The sequence below is a fragment of the Homo sapiens genome, chromosome 18 (assembly GCF_000001405.40).
Source record: "Homo sapiens chromosome 18, GRCh38.p14 Primary Assembly".
NCBI classification, from domain to species: Eukaryota; Metazoa; Chordata; class Mammalia; order Primates; family Hominidae; genus Homo; species Homo sapiens.
Window position 1 is genome coordinate 79,327,583 of NC_000018.10, and position 24,110 is coordinate 79,351,692.

A 24,110-nucleotide genomic window follows, 5' to 3' on the forward strand; every position below is an offset into this window, starting at 1 on the left:
CGTGGTTAACGTGCCCTCCGTGGTTAGCGTGCCCTCCCTGGTTAGTGTGCCCTCCCTGGTTAGCATGCTCTCCGTGTTTAGCGTGCTCTCCGTGGTTAGCGTGCTCTCCGTGGTTAGTGTGCTCTCTCCATGGTTAGCGTGCTCGCCGTGGTTAGCGTGCTCTCCGTGGTTAGCGTGCTCTCTGTGGTTAACGTGCTCTCCGTGGTTAGCGTGCTCTCCGTGGTTAGCGTGTTCTCCGTGGTTAGTGTGTTCTCCGTGGTTAGCGTGCTCTCCATGGTTAGCGTGCTCTCCATGGATAGTGTGCTCTCCGTGGTTAGCGTGCTCTCCGTGGGTAGCGTGCTCTCTCTGGTTAGCGTGCTCTCCGTGGTTAGCGTGCTCTCCGTGGTTAGCGTGCTCTCTCTGGTTAGCGTGCTCTCCGTGGTTAGCGTGCTCTCCGTGGTTAGCGTGCTCTCCGTGGTTAGCGTGCTCTCTCTGGTTAGCGTGCTCTCCGTGGTTAGCGTGCTCTCTGTGGTTAGCGTGCTCTCTGTGGTTAGCGTGCTCTCCGTGGATAGCGTGCTCTCTGTGGTTAGCGTGCTCTCCGTGGTTAGTGTGCTCTCTGTGGTTAGTGTGTTCTCCGTGGTTAGCATGTTCCCCATGGTTAGTGTGCCTTTAGCTGCATAATAGGATTGGCATACCCTATTTATCTGATTAATGTCTGGTAGGGAGGTTGCTTTTAAAGACAGACTTTTATCAGAAAATAATACTTTTTGTCATAAAATACTATTCACAAATTATTAACTGTAAAAATTGCTCTTCCACTTGTGATTGTTAAATTTTAATAAGTCAATAAATAATTATCAATAAGAATACATTCTATTTCTGAGTACCTGCCATATGCCAGAGAATCACTCATGTTATTTTGGCCTCAAAGCAATTTGGAAGGCCATTTTTCCACATGACAGAAGAGGAGCGTGGCCCCAGCAGAGTGAAGACCTGGCCACAGGAGTTCCGACTTTCACACTTGGGCTTAGAACCCAGGCCTGCTTTCTCCTTGTCTATCTTGTCTCCTTTAAGTTTGCAAATATTACATGTAGACACATTAATAGAGTTAATTAGTCACCAATTTGTCTCTTATTTTAGAAAAATAATTACCATAAACATGAGATTCAAACTATTTCCCCTTTCATGGTGTCCATGGAACTGGGGAGGGAGAAACCTTGAAAAGTCGTATAACTTGCTCCCTGTCCCCAGACTGATGGGGTGAGCTGCGTTCTCAATTTTAAAACCATCTGGCTCTAGGGAGCAATTAACACAAATTGTAAAGAAAGTCTTTATGATCCATAATGGTCTTTATTTTAAAGAATAATACCAAGTGACTTTTGTGATATTGCTTAGGATTCCTCTAGAACAATGTTATTCAAACGTATATACTTAGCCGTGAAAACAAAAAGTTCTGAACACCTAAGTTCTTCTGCAGCTGTCTCATGTTGGCAAGCTTTCTGAGCACTGCCGTGCTGGCTCGCCTGCGTGCGGCTTTCCTGAGGCAGCGGTGGCCTCAGTTGTTGCTGGTCTCCCGTAGGTCGCTCTGGTGCAGTGGACAGAGAGTGTGGGCCTCACGCTGGTCAGCAGGGACCTCACCTCCATGCAGCTGAAGACCCCCAGTGGCCAGGTCCTCAGCTTCTGCATTCTGCAGCTGTTTCCCTTCACCTCCGAGAGCAAGCGGATGGGCGTCATCGTCAGGGTGAGGCTGCGGGGAGGGTGCCACGCGATGGCTTCAGACATTTTGTTTTCACACCTTTTAAACACAGATTTTCCCAAAAGAAAGTTAAACATTTACTCAGGTGCTTTATGCTGTTACAGTTTTGTTTGTTTTTTTTTTTTAATGAAATCTAAGCTAATAATCTATATCTGGGAACCTACTGTGTCTCTAGTGAGATAAAATAATTCTCCTAAGTCAACCTAGCCAGAATCAATAATGTGGGATTTATTAATTTTTGAAATCAACAACTAAAGCTGTTTTGATTTCAACAAAAATAACATGCCAAAGAGTTTGACTTTTGTACATTGATTTATGACCATAAAGTTGCCAAAACGTACCTTAATTTTTTTAGCAAACACCAAAATCATATCTTGGAAGTTGACTAAACAATGAAGCATTAAATCCAACTGTAAAAGTTTAAGAGAATGAATGCAACTCAAATCATATTCATTAACACACTCAGACCTTCAGCCTAGCATCTCAGGATGCACAATTATGTTCTCAGTCCTGATTGCACTATTGCTGAAGAGTGGGCCTAGCCCTCCGCGTAGAAACACGTGTGAGGAGCTTAACACACAGGAACACATTCATAGGAATTGCTTTTTCCATTGTATGTTTTATTAGACTAGCAGTTATTTGCCCCGAGCAATGCAGCCTAAATGTGCCTCTGTTTATTTTTGTTCTTTGATAGGATGAATCCACGGCAGAAATCACATTCTACATGAAGGGCGCTGACGTGGCCATGTCTCCTATCGTGCAGTATAATGACTGGCTGGAAGAGGAGGTATGTGAGTGACTCTAGCGTGGTTCACAGTGTTTCTATGGAAGAGGAGGTATGTGAGTGACTCTCAGCCTGGTTCACAGTGTTTCTATGAACTTTATTGATAGATGACAGGAAAAGGATATCCTTTCCCCAGCTTGCAGACACTGGTATCATTGGATGAATTGAGCTGTCAAAATGTCAAACCAGATGCTGATGGGAACCACATAGGTTGTCAAACACAGTATCATTTTATACTAAATTATTTTAAGTGCTTGCAGTTCTCAATTTCATAAAGGAGAAAGGGTAGGAGTCCTATCTATTTATAAATAGTTTACCCTTTTTTTTTTTTTTGAGACAGACACACTGTCACCCAGGCTGGAGTGCAGTAGCGCAATCTTGGCTCTCTGCAACCTGCACTTCCCAGGTTCAAGCGATTCTCCTGCCTCAGCCTCCCAAGTAGCTGGGACTACAGGCACCCGCCACCATGCCTGACTAATTTTTTTGTATTTTTAGTAGAGACAGGGTTTCACCATGTTAGCCAGGATGGTCTCTATCTCCTGACCTCGTGATCCGCCCGTGTCGGCCTCCCAAAGTGCTGGCATTATATGCATGAGCCACCATGCCCAGCCAATAATTTACTTTCTGTGTAAATAACAATCATTTTTGTTTTGTGTGTGAGTGCGTGTCAATCTATACAAGTAGGTCCTTACAAAGAATATTTTGTTTATAATAGAAATAGAAGGCATTATCAATCATTCACTATTCTGAAATAATACTTTATATGTAATCAAAGTTATATTTTAATGTATCTCTTTTGTAACATAAATATTTGCAAGATTTTCTTTAGAATTTTAACCTAATGCTAATTTGTGCATAAGGTTCACCTAAAATTAGAACATAAGATACAAATAATAAGCAATCCCATATTTCATTAAATTCTCCTGAAGTAAATAGGATTTGTAGGTAGCCTCATGAGATGATTTTATCGTTAAGCTTATGTATAAATCAGTAGTTGGATTTCCAAGTAAAATGGAGACTGTTGTAATTGTAGTAAACATGGCCCTTTTTCCTGTGTGCGTGTTGCTGTTGGAATTCAGAGTCTCTCCTCCCACCCTGGGACCTCAGAGATGGTCTGTCCGTGCAGCCTCCACACCCCAGTGTTCGCAACGGTAGTGGCAATATGAATCAATATCTCCTTCGGGGTGGTTTGATTTAATCAGGGACGTGAATAAATTAAACTCCCTGAAGACCTAGTAAAATGCCATAAAAATTACTTTTGGTCATAATGATGTGCAATTAATTGTAAAATACTTCTTTAATTTATTTAGCTTTATGAGGCCAAATCAATAAATGTTTTGCAACAGACAGATGATGTCAGAATGTTTTTCACAAAGATAACTTTATTAAAAATTCTATGTACATTTATTTTTTCAACATTATATTTTCTTTCCTTGGATAAATTGTTGTCCCTTCACCAATGTCTTTGTTGTGGTACTACTATATTATGAAAGCCTTTCATTTTATTAAAAACGAAATGAGGCAGCAGATTCTTCGAGCTGGAGTTAAAAGTGTATTATTCTGCTTCCATCAGGCTCCTCCAGAACTGAATTCTTGGCTTGTCAAATGTTTAAAAAAAAAAAAACTTTTCAATGATCACATAACAGAAAGAACCAGTTTATGCAAACCTGAGATGTAAGAATATGTAAGTCTGTGAACAGACTTAAAATAGTGATGTTCCGGATAGCTGGAGGTGTTGAGGTGATTGGCTTCCTTCCCTCTAAACACAAACCTGAGTTGGGCCCTGGACATTGTATTGTAAAGGAAACAAGTACAGGTGACCCTTGAACAACACGAGGGCCAGGGGCTCCAAACCCCACACAGATGAAAATCAGCCTATCACTTCTGACTCCCCAACACGTAACTGCTGATAGCCTCCTGTTGAACGAAGCCATACTAATAACATGGATAAATCGATTAACACATTGTGTATGTTACATGAATTATATTCTGCATTGTTACAAGAAAGTAACTTAGAGCAAAGAAAGTGTTATTAAGAAAATCATGGGCTGGGTACGGTGGCTTACGCCTGTAATGCCAGCACTTTGGGAGGCCAAGGCGGGCAGATCACGAGGTCAGGAGATTGAGACCCTCCTGGCTAACACGGTGAAACCCCATCTCTACTAAAAATACAAAAAATTAGCCGGGTGTGGTGGCGGGCGCCTGTAGTCCCAGCTACTTGGGAGGCTGAGGCAGGAGAATGGCGTGAACCCGGGAGGCAGAGCTTGCAGTGAGCCAAGATCGCGACACTGCACTCCAGCCTGGGCGACAGAGCGAGACTCCGTCTCAAAAAATAAAAATAAAAAAATTATAAGGAAGAGAAAATGTTATCTACTCATCAGTAAGTGGGAGTGGGCCATCGTGAAGACCTTCTGACTTTCTTCCTCATGGTCTTCATGTTGAGGAGGCTGAGGAGGAGGAGGGGTTGGTCTTGCTCTCTCAGGAGGGCAGAGGCAGAACAGGTGGAGGAGGTGGAAGCGGAGGCAGGAGGGGCAAGCTCACTCCGCATAAACTTTACTGAAAATAATCTGCGTAAAAGTGGACCCACGCTGTTCAAACCCATGTTGTTTAAGGGCCATCTGTAGTTAAAATTGGGAACGACAGGAGGTATAATGAATGACAGCCTTGCCTTTGTAATTCACAGTAATTGTCACTTCTTTTGTCTCCTGTAACACATGACCCTATAGAGGTCACTATTCCAATTCCTAAACAGGAGACGGGAAGAGACACAGCTGTTGGATGCATAAAGAAGGGTGCTAGACCCACGCCTCTCCTCCAGCCCTTCCTGCCATCCCTGCAGCCTCCAGTCCAACGTCAAATACAATCAACTGGATGAATTAAAAAGAAATTGCAAATAATATGAAGAGTTCAATAATGTTTATTTGCCTACAGATTAACCTTGATCAGCAGATACAGTACACTGGCTTCATTAGAGTGGGGCCTCCCACATGGAGGGCTGCCTGATGCCCAGGAGAGATGATGGGTGGTGACAGGGTCTCTGCGCGTGCCTGGGGGGCCGTGATGTGTTTCCAAATGTGCGGCTGTGCCCGGGTGGTTTCTCAGCACTTTTCCTGGGCAGTGCTGAGAAAGGTCAGATGCCCAAAGTCCCAGCTGTCTGGGCTGCAACTGCCATCTCTGGCTTTCTGTTGCTGTCTGAGGAGCTGGCCTCTCCACTGCATGTCCACCCCAAGGGCTGGCGGAGCCTTCCTTAGGGACACTGTCATGTTCTTCTCCCTGCCATGCAGATTCTCAGTGTTCAGCACAACATTGCACAAACCAGGTTTACTAGTATTTGATCTTCTTTTCCGTAAACAAGTGTAGCTAATTAACTTGTTTAGGATATCCTTGCTTAAGTGTCTGCATTATCAATGTTCACATTTTTAAAGTTTTAAATATACATTGAAAATAATGTTTTTGATTAGTTGTTCTCTAGCTGTAACGTAGAGCTTTATTCTCCTTGGAGGTTACCAAAATAGCCTCTAAAAGACCTCTCCCCTCACTGTGTGTCATGGTGGCAGGGCAGGTCTTGGAGGTTACCAAAATAGCCTCTAAAAGACCTCTCCTCTCGCCGTGTGTCATGGTGGCAGGGCAGGTTAGCAGCTGCACCACCTCTGCGGGCTCATTGCGGCCGTAGCTAAGTTGGGAGTGTCCACCTGAGCTACAGAAAGTTCCTGGGGCTTCAGGAAGATGTGATTACCACTGATTTCTCTGTATTGTCAACCCCAGTGTCAGAGACAGGAGCTTTGTAAACATGGTTAAAATTTGAAAGAGTTGCTCAAATTTGAAATTTGAGAGGGAGTCAACAACATCTGGATGGAGAGTCTTAAGCAGCGAATCTTTCGGGACCTTCCAGAGCACAGAGAAGCCCTCTCTACAGGGAGGGTCACTGTTAAAGCATCTTAAAGTATGTTAGCCCTAATAAGTTGAAACTGCTAGGCTGGGCGCGGTGGCTCACGCCTGTAATCCCAGCACTTTGAGAGGCTGAGGTGGGCAGATGATGAGGTCAGGAGAGCAAGACCATCCTGGCCAACATGGTGAAACCCCGTCTCTACTAAAAATACAAAAAAAATAGACAGGGTGGTGGCAGGCGCCTGTAGTCCTAGCTGCTGGGGAGGCTGAGGCAGGAGAATGGCATGAACCCGGGAGGCAGAGCTTGCAGTGAGCCGAGATCGTGCCACTGCACTCCAGCCTGGGTGACAGAGCAAGACTCTGTCTCAAAAAGAAAAAAAAAAGTTAGAAACTGCTAGATTCAAAAATTGATAGTTATACAGCTTAGTGTTCATTACTTTGGTTTTTTTAATGTACTTTTTATAGAACACACCACAGCTTTAAAGCTTAGGCACACCTCACCCAGCACTTAGTAATCAATTGTAGGGCCTCTCTGTATCCCTGGAAGAGAGCCCGGCTGTCCTGAGCCCCGTCCTGGTCCACACAGCAGAGGGGGGTGGGGTTGTCTCCTGACAGCCCCGACACCCCCTGGGGCTGTCCGGGAGCCCAGCACCCTCCACCCCTGCCTCTTGTCTGCATCCCCCAGACGTTGGCCCCTTGGGCAGGACCGTGTGTGCTCACAGCTAAGTCCTACACACGCCTGGCCCCCAGGAGACCCACCGGCGCCCTCCCTCCCACATCTGCCCAGACGCCCACCCCCCCCTTGTGCCGGATAGGAGACCCACCGGTGCCCTCCCTCCCACATCTGCCCAGTCGCCCACACCGCCTTGTTCCAGGTAGGAGACCCACCGGTGCCCTCCCTCCCACATCTGCCCAGTCGCCCACACTGCCTTGTTCCGGGTAGGAGAGCGGGGTGGGTTTGTTTCTTCACCTGCCTTGCAGGAACACGTGCCCTCACGCGTCTGTTCCTGTGGCCGCATGAGGCCTGTCCCTCTGGGTGTCCTTCACGTCACCACAACCACGTGAGGGAGGAACTGTTTTCACTTTGCACACAAGGAAATGGCACAGAAAGCGCAGAGTTCCAGAAGTGGCTTCTGCCGCTCTGCCAGATTCTCTCCGCTGGCTATGTGGAAATGCAGGATGTAGCTATTAACTATGAGCAGGCTCGTTCAAGCCTTTTAAAACCTGACCCTCGTTCATGTAAGCAATATGGCAGCGTCAACCTCGTGTGGACATCAGGGTCTACTTTTGTAAGTGCAGTTTGAACTTCCAGGACTGGGATGTGTGTCACTGGTATGAGCAGTTTAACTTTGAGAGTGTTACCTCCACACAGGTTTGCTCCTGCACCACCCCTCAGCCTTGTCCCAGAGAGCCTGTTTCTTCACCCATCACCAGCTAAAACTGTTGCACTTTTACCTCTAATGGGAAAGTAGTGTTTTTTATTTTGACACCTTCCCTGACTGAACACGGTTAGCACCGTTTCATGAGCTCATTGCAGGCATTTCCATGTCTTGCTTTAACACGCACATCAGGCCCCGTGACTCCTGCAGGGCTCCCCCAACTCTGGAAGGCGAATGCAGGGTGAGGCTTGTGAGCTTTGGGATCTGGCCGTGTCCCCACCAACCCCAGCTCTCACCGCGGCCCTGCACTCCTGCCCTCCCCTCCATCACTAACTGCGCTTACTGCTCATGATTGGCTGCCCTGCAAGGCCAGTTACATGCACGTTAAAAATAGAGCAAGAAGAACTTACGCAGATTCACGGAGTTAGTCCCAGAGCAACACTCTTATGAGCCCATTTCTATGAAGGAGGAAACAAGTACAGAAAAATGAGGTCGTTTGCCCAAAAACACAAAGTCTGTGGCAGAAACAGGTTTCCGGCCCAGCCACCTGGTTCTAAATCCATGGTATTACAACACGCCAGGGGGGTCCCCCTCTCCCCCAGTGTACACCAGGAGCCCTCCCTGGCACCAGGCGCTCCCCTCGCCCGTCCCCAGCACCGCCGTGTGCACCCTCCATGCCCTCCCTGGCACCAGGTGCTCCCCTCGCCCGTCCCCAGCACCGCCGTGTGCACCCACCATGCCCTCCCTGGCACCAGGCGCTCCCCTCGCCCGTCCCCAGCACCGCCGTGTGCACCCTCTGTGCCCTCCCTGGCACCAGGCGCTCCCCTCGCCTGTCCCCAGCACCGCCATGTGCACCCTCCGTGTGTTCTTGCTACATGCAGGCTGCCGTCCACACTCTGGAGTGGTGGTGTTTAAGGATTCAGGGTATGATTTTTTGAAAAGCCCGTGCTGTGGTAAAAAGAAGCTCTGCTAGGCACCAGGAGAGTCCAGGTGGAGTGTGCCCCAACTCCATCCAGTGTCTTTGCCTCTCGAGTGAAGGGGTCAGTAGGATTTGAGATACCAGACAGGTCGGGAGGTTAAAAGGATGCATTGTATGTAAAGGTGTCCCTCTGCTGAGTTGTCTCTGGCCTTGGTGATGAAGGTGGGCACAGGACATGAGGGCAGGGCACCAGCAATCAGAGTGTGGCACTGCCCTGGCCCCACACACGGCCACAGGGGCTCTGCAGGGCCCACCTGTGACTCGGCCTCTCCTTTTCCAGTGCGGAAACATGGCTCGCGAAGGACTGCGGACCCTCGTGGTTGCAAAGAAGGCGTTGACAGAGGAGCAGTACCAGGACTTTGAGGTGAGCCGACTCCCAGCCATCCCATCCTCCTACGACGTTTCCTTCCTTACGCTGAAATTAGTTCTTCCTGTCTTTGTATGAAATTAGAGCTGGGATCGCTATAGTCTAGGAGTGAAGGCAGCTTCGCTCAGCAGGAGCATGGGGTGATCCTGTCTGCATTTCTGTTTCCACCATTTCTCCAGCTTGCTGGGGAAGGAGGGTTACAGAAGCAAAGAAGTGCCAGTTTCCTTAGAATTGTGCTTGATAACTCCTCAATGATCACAGTCCAGCCGAGCTGAGTACACATAGAGTATGTGCACATAGGCGCCTCCCCCTCTGTCCCCAGAGCCCATGCTGTCCAGCTCTGTGGAGTACACACACGGAGCACGTACACGTGTGCACACAGGCGCCTCCCACTCTGTCCCCACAGCCCATGCAGTCCAGCTCTGTGGAGTACACACACAGCACGTACACGTGTGCACATAGTCACCTCCCCCTCTGTCCCCACAGCCCATGCAGTCCAGCTCTGTGGAGTCCACACACAGCACGTACACGTGTGCACACAGGCGCCTCCCCCTCTGTCCCCAGAGCCGATACACTCAAGCCAAGCTGAGCATGCACGACAGGTCCCTCAAGGTGGCCGCGGTAGTCGAGAGCCTGGAGAGGGAGATGGAACTGCTGTGCCTCACCGGCGTGGAGGACCAGCTGCAGGCAGACGTGCGGCCCACGCTGGAGATGCTGCGCAACGCCGGGATCAAGGTACTGCAGGCTCACCTCTGCTGGCGCGCGCTGCTTTTGCTGAAGCAAACAGTGCTTTTCCTTGGGCATGGTGATTTGTGAAACTCCTGTGGGGTCATGGATGTGAGAGAGCTCTGTAAGCAGAGCTGCCCACCAGCTCCCCTCCTTCCTTAGGGACATCTGCAGCTGGTGCACACACAAATCCCCACGCCACCCCTACTCCAGACCTTCCTCTCTACACCTCTTCCCTCTCTGGATACCCCAGCCTTTCTAAAGAGGAGTCCTGGTCCCAGCCCTGGCGATGTCAAACTGCCACATGCCATTTCCCAGGGATGGTTATGCACCCCCCACAGGACGCATGGAGCCAGTGCCCGTCACCCTGGCCACCGCCGGCCAGATGTCTGCAGCCATTCCTGGGTTGGCCGGCACTCGTGCCCTTGCCCCCAGCCTGTCACAACCCTGCACCTGGCAAGGCTGGGCCACTGTGTTCTCTGTGTAACCTGGCCTCCTCCTGCAGGGGTCTCTGTGCCTCCCCTGTGAGCACAGGGTACGTCCATTGTGACGGCACGTGTTCCATGAGGACGGGAGTGCATGAGAACCCAGACCTCATGGGCTTCGGCTTCATTCTCGGTTAAATTGTGCCACATTTGGAATCATCTCATGCTTCAGGGCATGTTAGAGTTGAGAATATAGAATACTCAGACGTGCACTACATCTGTTCATTTTATTGATGTTTTTGAAGAAATAATGCATCCACATTGTCACAAACTCAGCACAAAAGGACACCCAGTGGAAGCTGCTTCTCACTTGTGCCTGGCCCCTGGGCTCAGCAGCAAGAGCCTGCCCCAGAGACGCCTGGACGTACAGGGCAGGTGCAAAGCTGCTTGTCCTCCCTCTGGCTCTTTGTTCTCTCCCAGCACCTTCTCCGTAGCTGGAGGACACCCCCTCTACCTTGGCTGTGTGGCTTATGCCCCCATCCCCACCATGCTCCCAGCAGCAGTATCCCATCTCCCAGCAGGCAGTGCCCACCTTCCCTGAACTCCCCAAGGCAGTGCCCCGTCTCATCCAGCTGTGTGGTCCTTGGCAGTTTAAATATGGTGTCCGTGAAATTCGAGTGTTTATCTTGGATGGGAGAGGTTAGGCATCCTGACCATCCTTCTTGGTGGCTTCCCCCAGATGCTGTGTGGCGGGGCACACGCTCCCTGCCCACCGACCTGCTCTCTGGCTTTTTCACTTACTGATGTGTCCTCTTCCTGCACAGGGGAAATTGGCACTTATGGTGTAAGTTTTATTTTTCAGGAGCTTTCCTCACATGTTCTCATTGAAGCCGAAAGGTCAACTGCAAATTGGTTAAGATAATTTATTTCAGCACTGCCTCAAGGACCTGGGACTCAGAATGGGAAAAAGTGTAACTTGGTTTTCAGAGAAAAGCTGCATAGCTAGACTAGAGGGACAGAACTGAAGGACAGTGTCAGAAGTCAAAGCTGTGCCAACTTCAGTTAAAAAATACATCCCACAAGCCTTGATGAAGATGCTGTGCCATGGACAGAAAATAGGCATCTGTTTTCCTTGCTGTCTAGAGGTCTGCATGGTGAAGAGACTTGTAAGATTTAATGTCCTTCTGAGATCGCAGTAGGAAGTATGTCATGTTCGCAGTAGGAAGTGTGTCATGATCGCAGTAGGAAGTGTGCCATGATCGAATTAGGAAATGTGTCATGACTGAAGTAGGAAGTGTGTCATGGTCGCAGTAGGAAATACGTCATGAGGCTGTATCATATCCATCTGAGATCACAGTAGGAAGTGTGTCATGATCATAGTAGGAAGTATGTCATGATCACAGTAGGAAGTGTGTCATGATCGTAGTAGGAAGTATGTCATGATCACAGTAGGAAGTGTGTCATGATCGCAGTAGGAAGTGTGTCATGAGACTATCATATCTGTCTGAGATCGCAGTAGGAAGTGTGCATGATTGCAGTAGGAAGTATGTCATCGCAGTAGGAAGTATGTCATCGCAGTAGGAAGTATGTCATGATCACAGTAGGAAGTGTGTCATGATCACAGTAGGAAGTGTCATGATCGTAGTAGGAAGTGTGTCAGGAGGCTGTATCATATCTGAGATCGCAGTAGGAAGTGTCATGATCGCAGTAGGAAGTATATCATGATTGCAGTAGGAGGTGTGTCATGATCGCAATAGGAAGTGTGTCAGGAGGCTGTATCATATCTGACTGAGATCGTAGTAGGAAGTGTGTCATGATCGCAGTAGGAAGTGTATCATGATTGCAGTAGGAAGTGTGTCATGATCGCAGTAGGAAGTGTGTCATGAGGCTGTATCATATCCATCTGAGATCGCAGTAGGAAGTGCATGATTGCAGTAGAAAGTATGTCATGATCGCAGTAGGAAGTGCGTCATGAGGCTGTATCTGGTTTCAGAGTAATTGTTCATGTAGAAATTCAAAATTACAAGAGAACAATTCTGACTCAGAAAGTTTAGATTACTAAACTTAATTGTATTGTACAGCCAAAAAGTTGAATAACGAAGTGTGATTAATGAGAAGCAGATGAGCTGGGTGTGGTGCTTTGTGCCTGGGATCCCAGCTACTCAGGAGGCTGAGGCGGGAGGCTCAATCGAGCCCCAGAGTTCATGGCAAGACCCATCTGTAAATCGACACATGAATGAGCGAGCATATGACCCCTGCATTTCACTGTAACTTTTTAGTGAACTTCACCTCAGTCTACTTCCTACTTTATATGTGCTAGATTATTAGTATATTAAAGTAGTGAATATCCCTTGCATTAAAATTTGGATCTTTACATCAATTATTTGCTAAGTTATATGACTTTCTCGAGTTTTGCTCTTTATTCTTTACATTATGTAAAGTCTGACTTCAGATGTTCCTCTGAAACTCGAAGGTGATTTTCAGCGGGACCTCACTGCGTTTCCTGAATCCCACTCAGGTTGCCGCAGTGCTAGTTCTTCTTCAACTTTGTCATGATGATGTGTCATACTCTTAGGTCCCGTAAATGAATATAAGTCTGTAAAATAAATAAAAAGCACAAATCTTAGACACTGAGAAGAGCCACAGGTGGAGCGTGCTTAAGCAGATAATCAGTACACTGTAGAAGTTTTTTTTCTGCTTCCTGTTTCCAAAAATGCATATTTCAATATGATACATAAGAAATCTGAGAAATTCAGCTAATGAGAATATTACTGGAAGTTCTTTGCTGTTATATATATCAAATATCCTGTCATGTATTAAATATCCTGATATTTTACTCTATCGTCTAGGAATATATATACACATAAGATGTGCATGGGTATGCAATTTTTAAATGTAAAAGTGCTACTATTTGACATGTTTTATTTGACATAAACAACTTTTGGTTTGACTATGGGCCATTTACCCATTGAACCTCCGTTTCCAACTAAAAAACTAGCAAACTGCAGTGAAGGTCTTCATGAGCCTCCCAGCCTGGCAAACCCTGACTGTGTGCCGCCTTGGCAGTCCTGTGTGCTTGCTTTGTGTGGAATCCTTTGTGGTAGGCACCTTTGACACTCACAGCTATCCTTATTAGACTTAGCCTCTGAGTGCCGGGCCCAGGTGTTACTCACATGCCTCCATATCTCAGCTGCTGTATCTACACATCACTGTGCTCTCGCTTGTTCCACCTTAGCAAGTTCACATACTGTTTAATTGTGGTTGGATGTGTGTAGCGTGACCTCGTTGAAGTCTGTGTTGCCGACACACCATTTAATTGTGGTTGGATGTGTGTAGCGTGACCTTGTCGAAGTCTGCATTGCCGACACACCATTTAGTTGTGGTTGGATGTGTGTAGCGTGACCTCGTCGAAGTCTGTGTTGCCGACACACCATTTAGTTGTGGTTGGATGTGTGTAGCGTGACCTCGTCGAAGTCTGTGTTGCCGACACACCATTTAGTTGTGGTTGGATGTGTGTAGCGTGACCTCGTTGAAGCCTGTGTTGCCGACACACCATTTAGTTGTGGTTGGATGTGTGTAGCGTGACCTCGTTGAAGCCTGTGTTGCCGACACACCATTTAGTTGTGGTTGGATGTGTGTAGCGTGACCTCGTTGAAGCCTGTGTTGCCGACACACCATTTAGTTGTGGTTGTATGTGTGTAGCGTGACCTCGTTGAAGCCTGTGTTGCCGACACACCATTTAGTTGTGGTTGGATGTGTGTAGCGTGACCTGTTGAAGCCTGCGTTGCCAACACACCATTTAGTTGTGGTTGGATGTGTGTAGCGTGACCTTGTTGAAGCCTGCGTTGCCGACACACCATTTAGTTGTGGTTGGATGTGTGTAGCGTGACCTGTTGAAGCCTGCGTTGCCGACACACCATTTAGTTGTGGTTGGATGTGTGTAGCGTGACCTTGTTGAAGTTTGCGTTGCCGATTCTTGTGCAGCCATCACCACCACCCCTTCCAGAACTGTTCCATCCTCCTAAACGGAAACTGTCCATCTCCCCATTCCCCTTCCCCTAAACCCTGGCACCCACCATCTAGTTCTTTCTCTGTGGATTGGATGGCTCTAGGGACCTCATGGAAATGGGATCATACAGTATTTGTCCTTTTGTGACTGGCTTCTTTCACTCAGCGTAATGTCCTCAAGGTTGAACCACAATGCAGCCTGTATCAGAATTTCCATCCTTTTTAAGGCTGAATAATACTCCATTGTATGTATGGAACACATTTTGCTCATTCATTTATCTATTGACGGGCACCTGGGTTGCTTCCACCTTTTGGCTGTTGTGAATTATGTGAGACATCAGAAATGAACGTGTCCTTGTCTTGTTGAAATTCACCAGTTTAAATTGTTCCCTAGATATGGATGCTAACAGGCGATAAACTCGAGACAGCTACCTGCATTGCCAAAAGTTCACATCTCGTGTCTAGAACACAAGATATTCATATTTTCAGACAGGTAAGTATGTATCTTAATCACTTTGAATTTTTAAACATTTGTCTCACACAAACGAAGCCTATTGTTTTTGTCAGAATATATATTTATTAATCACTAAATATCTTTTTAAAAAGAACTACTGTAATTTTTTTAATTTATAACAGCACACCAGCATGGCACATGTATACGTATGTAACTAACCTGCACAATGTGCACATGTACCCTAAAACTTTAAGTATAATAATAAAAAATAAATAAATAATTAATTAATTAAAAAGCATGTTAAAATAGATATTTTTAGCCACATACATTAATCATGATCAAAGCTGCTTTTTGACGGAATGAACAAGCTCTAAGTTCAGAAGTATTTTTTGCTTATACTATTAGTATTATTTGCTATTTTAAAAGAGGCATACTGCAATTATTTTCAATTTGTAAAAATGTATATTGATTAAAAAAATTACATTTTTCTACAAGTTATACGTGTTACATGTTGTCCAGAAGCTGCTGTTGTGAAACAAGCTATAAATACAAAATAGAAATGTGTTTTTAATCACTGCCATTTTCAGAGCAAGTGCTGCCTTAACTAGTTCAAAGAAAATTAATAGAAATGATCTAAGTTTATGTGTTTACTGTATGTATTAGTTATGACTAAATTTAATTCAAACAAAAAATAAGAATTTCTTGGTCTTGATTTATGGTGAGTGAACAGACATTCTGTGTCTGCGTCTGTTCTAAATGAATCGCTTGCACCTACAGAAGGAGTTATTTGAATATAATTTATATGTAAATGTAGTTTGTTTTGAAGCATCAGAATCACAAATTAGGCCCTGAAGACTACTATTTGCAATTAAATTATTAATGCTTCTGATAAAACTTCAGATCAATTTTTGTTGACTTTTCAGTGTTATAGCACCACAAATTAAATTTTTCACAATAAAACCTACCTATTTAAAGATGAGTCTGAGATTGTTAATTTGAACCACATGAAGCTTTTAATTTATTTCAGTCCTATTAATAGGACTATTAATATATCATTTCTTTTATGCTCCATAAAATCTCCACAGAAGGAATATGAAAAACCACTTACATTGGTTTCTGAAATATTTTTGTTCTAAAACAAATGATATTTCAAGATTATGACTTACTTTTACTCTTTTAGGTTTTTTTAAAAATCCCTCAGACACTGGGTAAAAACTAAACTAATGGAGTAAGTTGAAACCCATGGCAGAGACAACACAAGCAATTAAGTATTTTGCATTATTTGACCTATTATGAAAAGAGATGTATTTACATAACACCTTGATTTGAGAGCGTCCTGTCTCTTACCCGATGTGTGGCGATGATGTGTGGCGATGAGGAGCTCGGCCTCCCTGGGCTCTGGTGCTCTGTTGGGTGCAAGCCTCGTTCTGCAGAGCCGTGTCCGTAACGCTGCGAGTCAGTGACTCTCAGCAGCGCTGCTCCCCACGCCAGCCTACCCTGGCCTGTTGCTCTGTTAAATAATCACCTCGTGGGAATTACAAGAAAATTCTTAATCATTATCGTTGTATGTTAAGGGAGTGTATGTATAAAAGGCAATTACCCTCCCAAACTATCCAGAAGGTAATTATTAACTCATAGGCACCCTTTACACAAATTTCATCAGAGTGGTGATTCCACTGCATTCCTCACTATACGTTTCCTGCTTGCAGTTGCCACAAATTTGAAAATGATTGGCGTTAACTGAGTGGATAGACACACCCAGCACTGCTGGAGGAATTGGAAAGGACCTTCTTCCGGGTCCAAATACTAAAGCTCCTTTGGTTTTAGATAATAACCCCAGAACATTCCACTGTGACTCTGCAAATAATGCCCTGTTTCTCTGTGCCTGTAACTTAGACAACATTTTAATTTGGGATTCTTTTTCTCCCTTAATGGAGGTAACCAGTCGGGGAGAGGCACATTTGGAGCTGAATGCATTTCGAAGGAAGCATGATTGTGCACTAGTCATATCTGGGGACTCTCTGGAGGTAAGGCTGGACCCTGAGTGAGTACATGTCTGTCTGTGTCTCTGAGGCAAGGCTGGTCCCTGGCTGAGTGTCTGTTTGTCTCTCAGGCAAGGCTGGACCCTGAGTGAGTACATGTCTGTCTGTCTGTCTGTCTGTGTCTCTGAGGCAAGGCTGGACCCTGGCCCAGTGTGTGTCTGTCTGTCCATTCCAGTGCATCAAGGCCTTCTTGAGTCAAGTGCTTTTGCCCATTCATGCTGTTTTTAGGCAGTTTTCCATTTCGTAGCAGCGGTATCTGCCGCTCTGGAAAGCAGCCCCAGCCTGAGGAGATGTCAGAGCTGGATCACAGCGATTGTTACTCCTCCTTGACACATTGAGAGCCTGAAAGCTGGGCTGGGTCGCAGTGATTGTTACTCCTCTGTTAGACATTGAGAGCCTGCAAGTGCTGCAGGAGACCTGGAGGAGGAGCGACAAGAGCCTGTCCAGCGCCTTGGTTCTGGCTCTCTGTCCTCTCCATGTTGCATCCGCTGGAGCAGGAATGTCCAAAGTAGCTTCATGCCTCGTTTTCTTCGCACGGTGGCCCCCGGCTGAGGGAACTGTGGCACCGGGGCTGGTGGGAGCCTCCCCCTGCACAGCTTTTGCACAGGCTCCTGGGCTTAATCGTCCTGGACCTCTGTTGTTGCTAGTGTCCTCAGAGCAAGCACTCCAAGAAATCTGGCAGAAGCTGCCCCAGAACGTCACCGGGTCACATGATGTTTTTCAAGAAAGTCACTAAGGCAGCTTGGATTCCAGGGGAGGGGGATCAGACCAGAAGGTCATGTCGTAGCTCAAATCATGGAGGATTCTCTCTGGTACTTCAAGTGGAAGAACTTCCCTAGGCAGGAGAAGGATGGTTCCATGTTACATAGAATTTCTTCCCATGATTTTTTATTTTCCCCTGTCCGTGAGTCCTGTGAAATGATTCACAGAAAACTGAAAAGATTGAGAACTGTGGCGTCTGTTGGCTTTGCTCCCATGGTTTTGCACTTTCTACATTACACAAATCTGGGACACTGTTGTCGACCATAAGGCAAAATAACACAGGCTTTGTTTTCCAGGTTTGTCTAAAGTACTACGAGCATGAATTTGTGGAGCTGGCCTGCCAGTGCCCTGCCGTGGTTTGCTGCCGCTGCTCACCCACCCAGAAGGCCCGCATTGTGACACTGCTGCAGCAGCACACAGGGAGACGCACCTGCGCCATCGGTGAGAGCCGCCCACCCTGCTCACAGGGAGGTCTCCAGAGAAACCCGTAGGCTGACATTGATGGGCAAAGTTTGTTCCATCTCTAAAACTAGATTGATTTCATCTCCATTCATGGAAGTTTCTGAAATAGCTTCTGATGGTAAAAATGAAAAACGTGATGATGGATAAGGTTTTATTTCATCTCACTTTTCTTGCTTCGCAGGTGATGGAGGAAATGATGTCAGCATGATTCAGGCAGCAGACTGTGGGATTGGGATTGAGGGAAAGGTAGGTTCGCCCTTTTATCAACACATTAGCACACAGTCAGCACACATCAACACGACTCAGCACATGCTGGGCCACTGTACACTCAGCACCTACTTGGTCAGTGCACGTCAGCATGTGCTTAGCGTACGCTCGGTCAGCAAACACTCAGCACATGCTTGGTCAACACACATCAGCACGTGCTCAGCGCACAGTCAGCACACACTCGGTACACGCTCGGTCGGCGCACGTCAGCACATGCTCAGCGCACAGCACACACTCGGCACACGGTCATCACACGTCAGCTTGTGCCCAGCGCACAGTCAGCACACACTCAGCACACGGTCAGCGCACATCAGCACGTGCTCAGCGCACAGTCAGCACACAGCACACACTCGGTCAGCGCACGTCAGCATGTGCTCAGCGCACAGTCAGCACACACGGCACATACGTGCTTAGTGCACATCAGCACATGCTCAGCACACACTTGGCACACTCGTTTAGCACACTACACATGCTCAGCACACGGTCAGTGCACGTCAGCACATGCTCAGCACACTTGGTACACTTGTTTAGCACTACTATGCTTGGCACACACTTGGTCAGCGCACGTCAGCACGTGCTCAGCGCACAGTCAGCACACATTCGGCACACATTTAGCACACTACATGCTTGGCACACACTCAGCGCACCTCAGCATGTGTTCAGTGCACAGTCAGCACACACTCGGCACACACTCGGTCAGCGCACGTCAGCACGTGCTCAGCGCACAGTCAGCACACATTCGGCACACATTTAGCACACTACATGCTTGGCACACACTCAGCGCACCTCAGCATGTGTTCAGTGCACAGTCAGCACACACTCGGCACACACTCGGTCAGCGCACGTCAGCACGTGCTCAGTGCATGCCTGGTCATTTTACACTCAGCACATACTCACCGCATGCTTGGTCGGCACAGTCAGCACATGCTCGGTGAATGCGCACTTGGTCAACACGTGTGGTCAGCACACAGTCAGCACAGCCTGAAGAGCCTGGTGTGTCCCGGGCACTGAACTGTACATTTGAATAAAGGAGGAATTGGTCGGAGTCCCCCGCTTTGACCTCACATTTCATAATGTCAATCCTGCCACGTGCATTACAGCCTAGCCCTCGGCGACTTGCTGTTGGCGGACTGGCGTACAGGGAGGTGTCACTCTTAGTCACCTGCCCTAGGGCTCAGCTCAGATGTTAGCAGATCCCTCGGCGAGCCTTTCCATGGCCTCCCTCCTGTTTTCCACGCACCATTCTCTGTGTGGTTGCCTGTGTCTCCTGGCCAACTGAGCTGTGGTTTGAGGTTCATCTTCCGTGCCAGCTTTATCTGTGTTACTCTCTCCTTCTCCACAGTCACTTAAATATTAATACAGACACACCCAGAAAGACCTGGAAAATTCACCTAGCTCAAGCAAGCGTGGCTTTTTCCTTGGCTACTTCATTTTGTAATGCCTTACAACAGCGTTGTGAAAGAGGGGATAGATTGTTTCTTCAAATATGAAAAAACAGAATTGTCTTGAAGCAGCCCAAGATTATAGGGGTGTCCTCCCACAGGGCTGGCCCATGTCAGATCATAGGGGTGTCTTCCGACAGGGCGGGCCCACACTCAGATCACAAGGGAGTCCTTCAACAGGGCTGGCCCGGACTCTGCAGCTCTGCTGACTCCTGTGACACCTATGGTCTGTCAGAGCCGAGCTCTCCTGAAGCACTTGTGAGAGCCTGGGCTGGTGCTGGGGGCTCTTCCTGCCCCTGTGTCTGAGACCATAGGACCTGTCCCCATCGACGGAGCTGAAGCTTTACAAGTTCTGCAGAGAGAATTTCGGTCTTTGTAACATTTAGGCTGAGTTCTAAAACTCACTTTTGGAGTCTGATTTCCAGCGTCCGCCATGTTTGAAAAGGCCCCGTGTGCTTTTCTCTCAGGAGGGTAAACAGGCCTCGCTGGCGGCCGACTTCTCCATCACGCAGTTCCGGCACATAGGCAGGCTGCTCATGGTGCACGGGCGGAACAGCTACAAGAGGTCGGCGGCACTCGGCCAGTTCGTCATGCACAGGGGCCTTATCATCTCCACCATGCAGGTACTAAGCCTTCTGTGCTGGCACCCATGGAGGGCAGGGTCCAGGAAGGGCAGGGTCCGGGAAGGGCAGGGTCCGGGAGTGGGGGTGCTGAGTGCTGCCGGAAGTACCTGGGCTGTGCTTAGGAGTTAGCGAGGCCCCTGAGAGGCTTGGGGCCACAGGTGCTCGTGGAACTGACAGTTGTCTTCGTCTGTGGGCTCTCTCTCCAGGCTGTGTTTTCCTCAGTCTTCTACTTCGCATCCGTCCCTTTGTATCAGGGCTTCCTCATGGTGGGGTAAGTTACACTCAGAACCTGCCAGCTCATCCAGGGGAGGACTTCTATTTTGAAAAAAAAAAAAAAAAAAAAACAAAAAACGTATATAGAAGATTCTTGATACAGTCATCATTTAGAATGAATAATACTGATGTAAAAACAACATTTTACTTGGGTGAACTTCAAGACAGCACCTGCACACTTGTTCCTCCTGGGATTTTCTTATTAGATTTTGTTTTCAAGTGGAAGCCATAGTTTGTGTCAGGAACTGTGTTGGATCTGAGATTTTTAAAGGGTCCCGTGGCAGAAGGCGGAGGGGCAGAGTGGCCACTGACAGGCCCTCCCGGCTCTCTGCAGGCTGCCCTCCCCTGGCTGGGGCTTCATCCTGTTGTGCGGCGTGGCCAGCAGCAAAGAGAGAACAGGAAGTGCAGGGACATGGTGTGGCATGCTTCGAAGCAAACACTGTTGGTCTCTCCTGGGCAGGAATGGAATCTCATTTTCAAAGATAGCAGCACCAGGGCTGGGCGCGGTGGCTCACGCCTGTAATCCCAGCACTTTGGGAGGCTGAAGTGGGCGTGGGTGGATCACCTGAGGTCAGGAGTTCGAGACCAGCCTGGCTAACATGGCGAAACCCTGTCTCTACTAAAAATACAAAAAAATTAGCCAGGCGTGGTGGTGTGTGCCTGTAATCCCAGCTACTCAGGAGACTGAGGCACGAGAATCACTTGAACCCGGGACGGGGAGGTTTCAGTGAGCTAAGATCGTGCCATTGCACTCCAGCTTGGGCAACAAAGTCAGACTCCATCTCAAAAAACAAAGATAACAGCAGCAGTGTCTTAGAAAAGGACACCAAAAGCACAGCAGGCATGCGACGTGCATTGAAAGCTGAGCTGATTTTGCTGCTGTATCTGCAAAACAGGAGCTTCCTGTGAAGAGGGAATAGGTGGGAATTTCTCTTTTCCTCCTCCTCTGTGGTTATGACTAGAAATGAAATCAGTGTGACTGTTGGTGTTGGCAGCAAACTAAAAGCAGCCTCTCATCTGCCACTGACCTCCCTGACCTCTGCAAAGCTCATGCCCACCTTAACCAGGTTCCACTCCACAAAGAGTCTCAGAAAATACTTGAATAGTAACAGCCACTGGCTTCGATGCTCTTGGCGTTGAACGTGCTTTCATCCTCACCTTGTCCCCACTTCATGTGTGAGAAAAGTGAGAGACCCAGAGAGCTCAGGAACTCACCCGTGGGAGGCCCAGCTCAGACCTGAGTTGTCAGGGGCTGGCGCCGGGTGCTGCTCCTCACCGTCACGCAGCCACTGAGCTTACCCCAGGTCCACAGAGAAACAGAGTCCTTTCTCCCTGCATAGCTGTTTCTAGTCCGCAGTCTAAACACCGTTTCACTCGACAGCTCCCTGAATCCCAGGAGTTCCTCACAATTTTAGCAAAATACAGGGAAATATCAGTCTGTGCGTGTGTTAGGTTTTTGTTAAACATGTGAGGTCCTCTTAAGTCACCTTTTTCCTGAGTTAGAATCACTGAGAGGCGCCCCCGTCATCCTGAGCTGTCCAAGGAGCATGCACAGAGCTGGCACTTGGGTCTCTGCCTTCCTTCCGTCTCCAGTCTTCAGGTCCTCTCTGTCCTCTGGCCTCCACACATGATGTCCCCTTGGCCTAGACCACTGCCAGATGTCCCCATTGTCCTTGCTTCCCTGGGAGGCCCCGCACCCCCCCCCCCACCATGCACCTTCACACCCCCAGGCTGCGCAGTTGTATTACCAGTTAGCGTCCTATTCTCCTGCGTGCTCTACAAGGACAAGGCACAAGGTATATCGGGTCCTCGTACCTGCTGTGAGTTTGTCAGCGTGAACTTCAGTGCATGCGAATTTCAGAGGAGGGCCAGACTCTGGCGGATTCTAGGCCCCCCACCCCAAGCCTCAGGACAGCTGAGCTGTGGGGCTCACAGCTACCAAGACTCCTGGGGCACCTGCTTCGGACTCCACGTCCTTCGCCTGCACATGTTAGCACCGTTCCTCCCAAGATAGCAGCAGCCTGTCCTGTGGTCTTAAAAATCACTTTGAATAAAGTAGGTAAGAGCCTAGGGAAACCTTCGCAGGTGTCTTCAGGCTTCTCTCACCCCTAGCCCTTCATCTTCGCACAAGTGCCTCTGTTTTAGGCCCCTGCCTGCTGTAATCACTCAGGGAATAACCCCCATGATCGTAAGCATTGCAGACTCTCTTTTTGTGGCCCACAAGGAAAGCGCCGTCATCGGCCCTGGGCTCTCCTGGCCGCTGAGGCTCCCTCAGCCCCAGTATGAGGTAGCACAGGACAGCACTGTGCGTCCATGGTGTCAACTTGAACCTTATTTCATGACTCTACGTGACCAAAGAATGTCCCAGCAACCTACCAACTCATAGCCCATACAGTTGATGGAAATGGTGGTAGGATTTGTGCTAATATTCTCAGCTTTCCGTGAATTCCAGTAGTGTTTCCTATAGTACTTCAAACAAAGGTGAAAAATCCTAAAGGTACAATAAGTGCTAACGCTTTTTAAATAAGTTTTCCCATTGCCTACATATTTACAGTAATTATTACATTAGTTGCTTTTTTTTTTTTTTTGAGACAGAGTCTTGCTGTGTCGCCCAGGCTGGAGTGCAGTGGTGTGATCTCAGCTCGCTGCAACCTCTGCCTCCTAGGTTCAAGTGATTCTCCTCCCTCAGCCTCCCAAGTAGCTGGGATTGCAGGCATGTGCTACCACGCCCAGCTAATTTTTGTATATTTTTAGTAGAGACGGGGTTTTGCCATGTTGACCAGGGTGGTCTCGAACTCCTGACCTCAAATGATCCACCTGCCTCAGCCTCCCAAAGTGTTGGGATTACAGGCATGAGCCCCTTCGTCCAGCCTAGTTACTTTTAAATAGTACAGAATTTGCACAGTAATACTGATTGCATCTTGAGTTTGAACAGTGTGTTTCTTCCTTGGAAGTCATAGAAAAGCATAACCCTTCTCACCTTCTTTCATATTTTAAAAATCATGGATTTGAAACATGAAAAGGAAAATGTGGGGGACCATGGAGATTATTCTTTAAAGAACTACTGCTTGGGTTAGTGAGGCCTGTGCCTGCCTCACAGCCCGAGTGCTCTGCAGCGTCCCCAGCTCCTGTTCCTACAGCTCTTCTTTATAATGGGCTTCATGTAAAGTAACTCTGAGTGTCCGTCACAAAAGAAACGTCTGTGACTTTCTTAAGCACTCATACTCTGAATTGGGTTAGGTGGGAGCTTTGGAGGGGCGATGCCTTTAGTTAAGCTTCTTTGAAAATAAATAATGAGTTTGCCTTCACCTAGGAAATAAATACCAAGAATTGAACAAAAATCAACATGATGTTTTTACAAAATAACATCTAACTAGAACAAAATCATGTCTATGATAAACTGGCTCTAGAACCTAGAGGACAGTTGATAGAATTTAATTCCACAAATATGGTTTTCATCTGCATTCATTTCATCAGCTCTGGAGGGAACTGTT

At 47.6% G+C, this 24,110-nt stretch overlaps 2 protein-coding genes and 1 long non-coding RNA gene across 39 annotated transcripts in view, besides 1 other annotated feature; 2 read left to right on the forward strand and 1 right to left on the reverse strand.

Moving 5' to 3' along the window:
* ATP9B (ATPase phospholipid transporting 9B (putative)) overlaps positions 1-24,110 on the forward strand; it is a 308,890-nt gene that overhangs the window by 258,189 nt on the left and 26,591 nt on the right. For 18 of the 37 annotated variants that reach the window (XM_017025726.2, XM_011525963.3, XM_017025727.2 and 15 more), the window contains 10 exons: positions 1,559-1,720; positions 2,430-2,522; positions 9,046-9,129; positions 9,619-9,867; positions 14,686-14,784; positions 16,683-16,772; positions 17,846-17,990; positions 18,193-18,257; positions 20,188-20,343; positions 20,550-20,614. In XM_017025726.2, the coding sequence (XP_016881215.1) occupies positions 1,559-1,720; positions 2,430-2,522; positions 9,046-9,129; positions 9,619-9,867; positions 14,686-14,784; positions 16,683-16,772; positions 17,846-17,990; positions 18,193-18,257; positions 20,188-20,343; positions 20,550-20,614 (1,208 nt within the window). Of the gene's footprint in view, positions 1-1,558; positions 1,721-2,429; positions 2,523-5,245; positions 5,417-9,045; positions 9,130-9,618; positions 9,868-14,685; positions 14,785-16,682; positions 16,773-17,845; positions 17,991-18,192; positions 18,258-20,187; positions 20,344-20,549; positions 20,615-24,110 lie in introns of those variants that run through there. The other 19 variants (NR_148360.2, XM_017025728.3, XM_017025730.2 and 16 more) reach the window with 4 other exon arrangements.
* Positions 8,218-8,418: a silencer, noted in NCBI's record as "peak3194 fragment used in MPRA reporter construct". NCBI's record gives its function as "represses an SCP1 promoter by STARR-seq MPRAs in K562 erythroleukemia cells {active_cell/tissue: K562}" and the evidence as "EXISTENCE:reporter gene assay evidence [ECO:0000049][PMID:32103011]".
* LOC124904332 (uncharacterized) lies at positions 12,681-16,459 on the reverse strand. Its single transcript, XR_007066424.1, has 2 exons — positions 16,093-16,459; positions 12,681-12,879 (listed from the first exon to the last, which is right to left on the reverse strand). It is a non-coding gene; the product is annotated as an uncharacterized LOC124904332 (long non-coding RNA).
* On the forward strand, positions 18,264-20,181 carry LOC107985149 (histidine-rich protein PFHRP-II-like). The gene has a single exon (XM_017026111.1). The coding sequence runs from the start codon at positions 18,370-18,372 to the stop codon at positions 19,030-19,032; it is 663 nt and encodes a 220-aa protein (XP_016881600.1). The 5' UTR covers positions 18,264-18,369; the 3' UTR covers positions 19,033-20,181.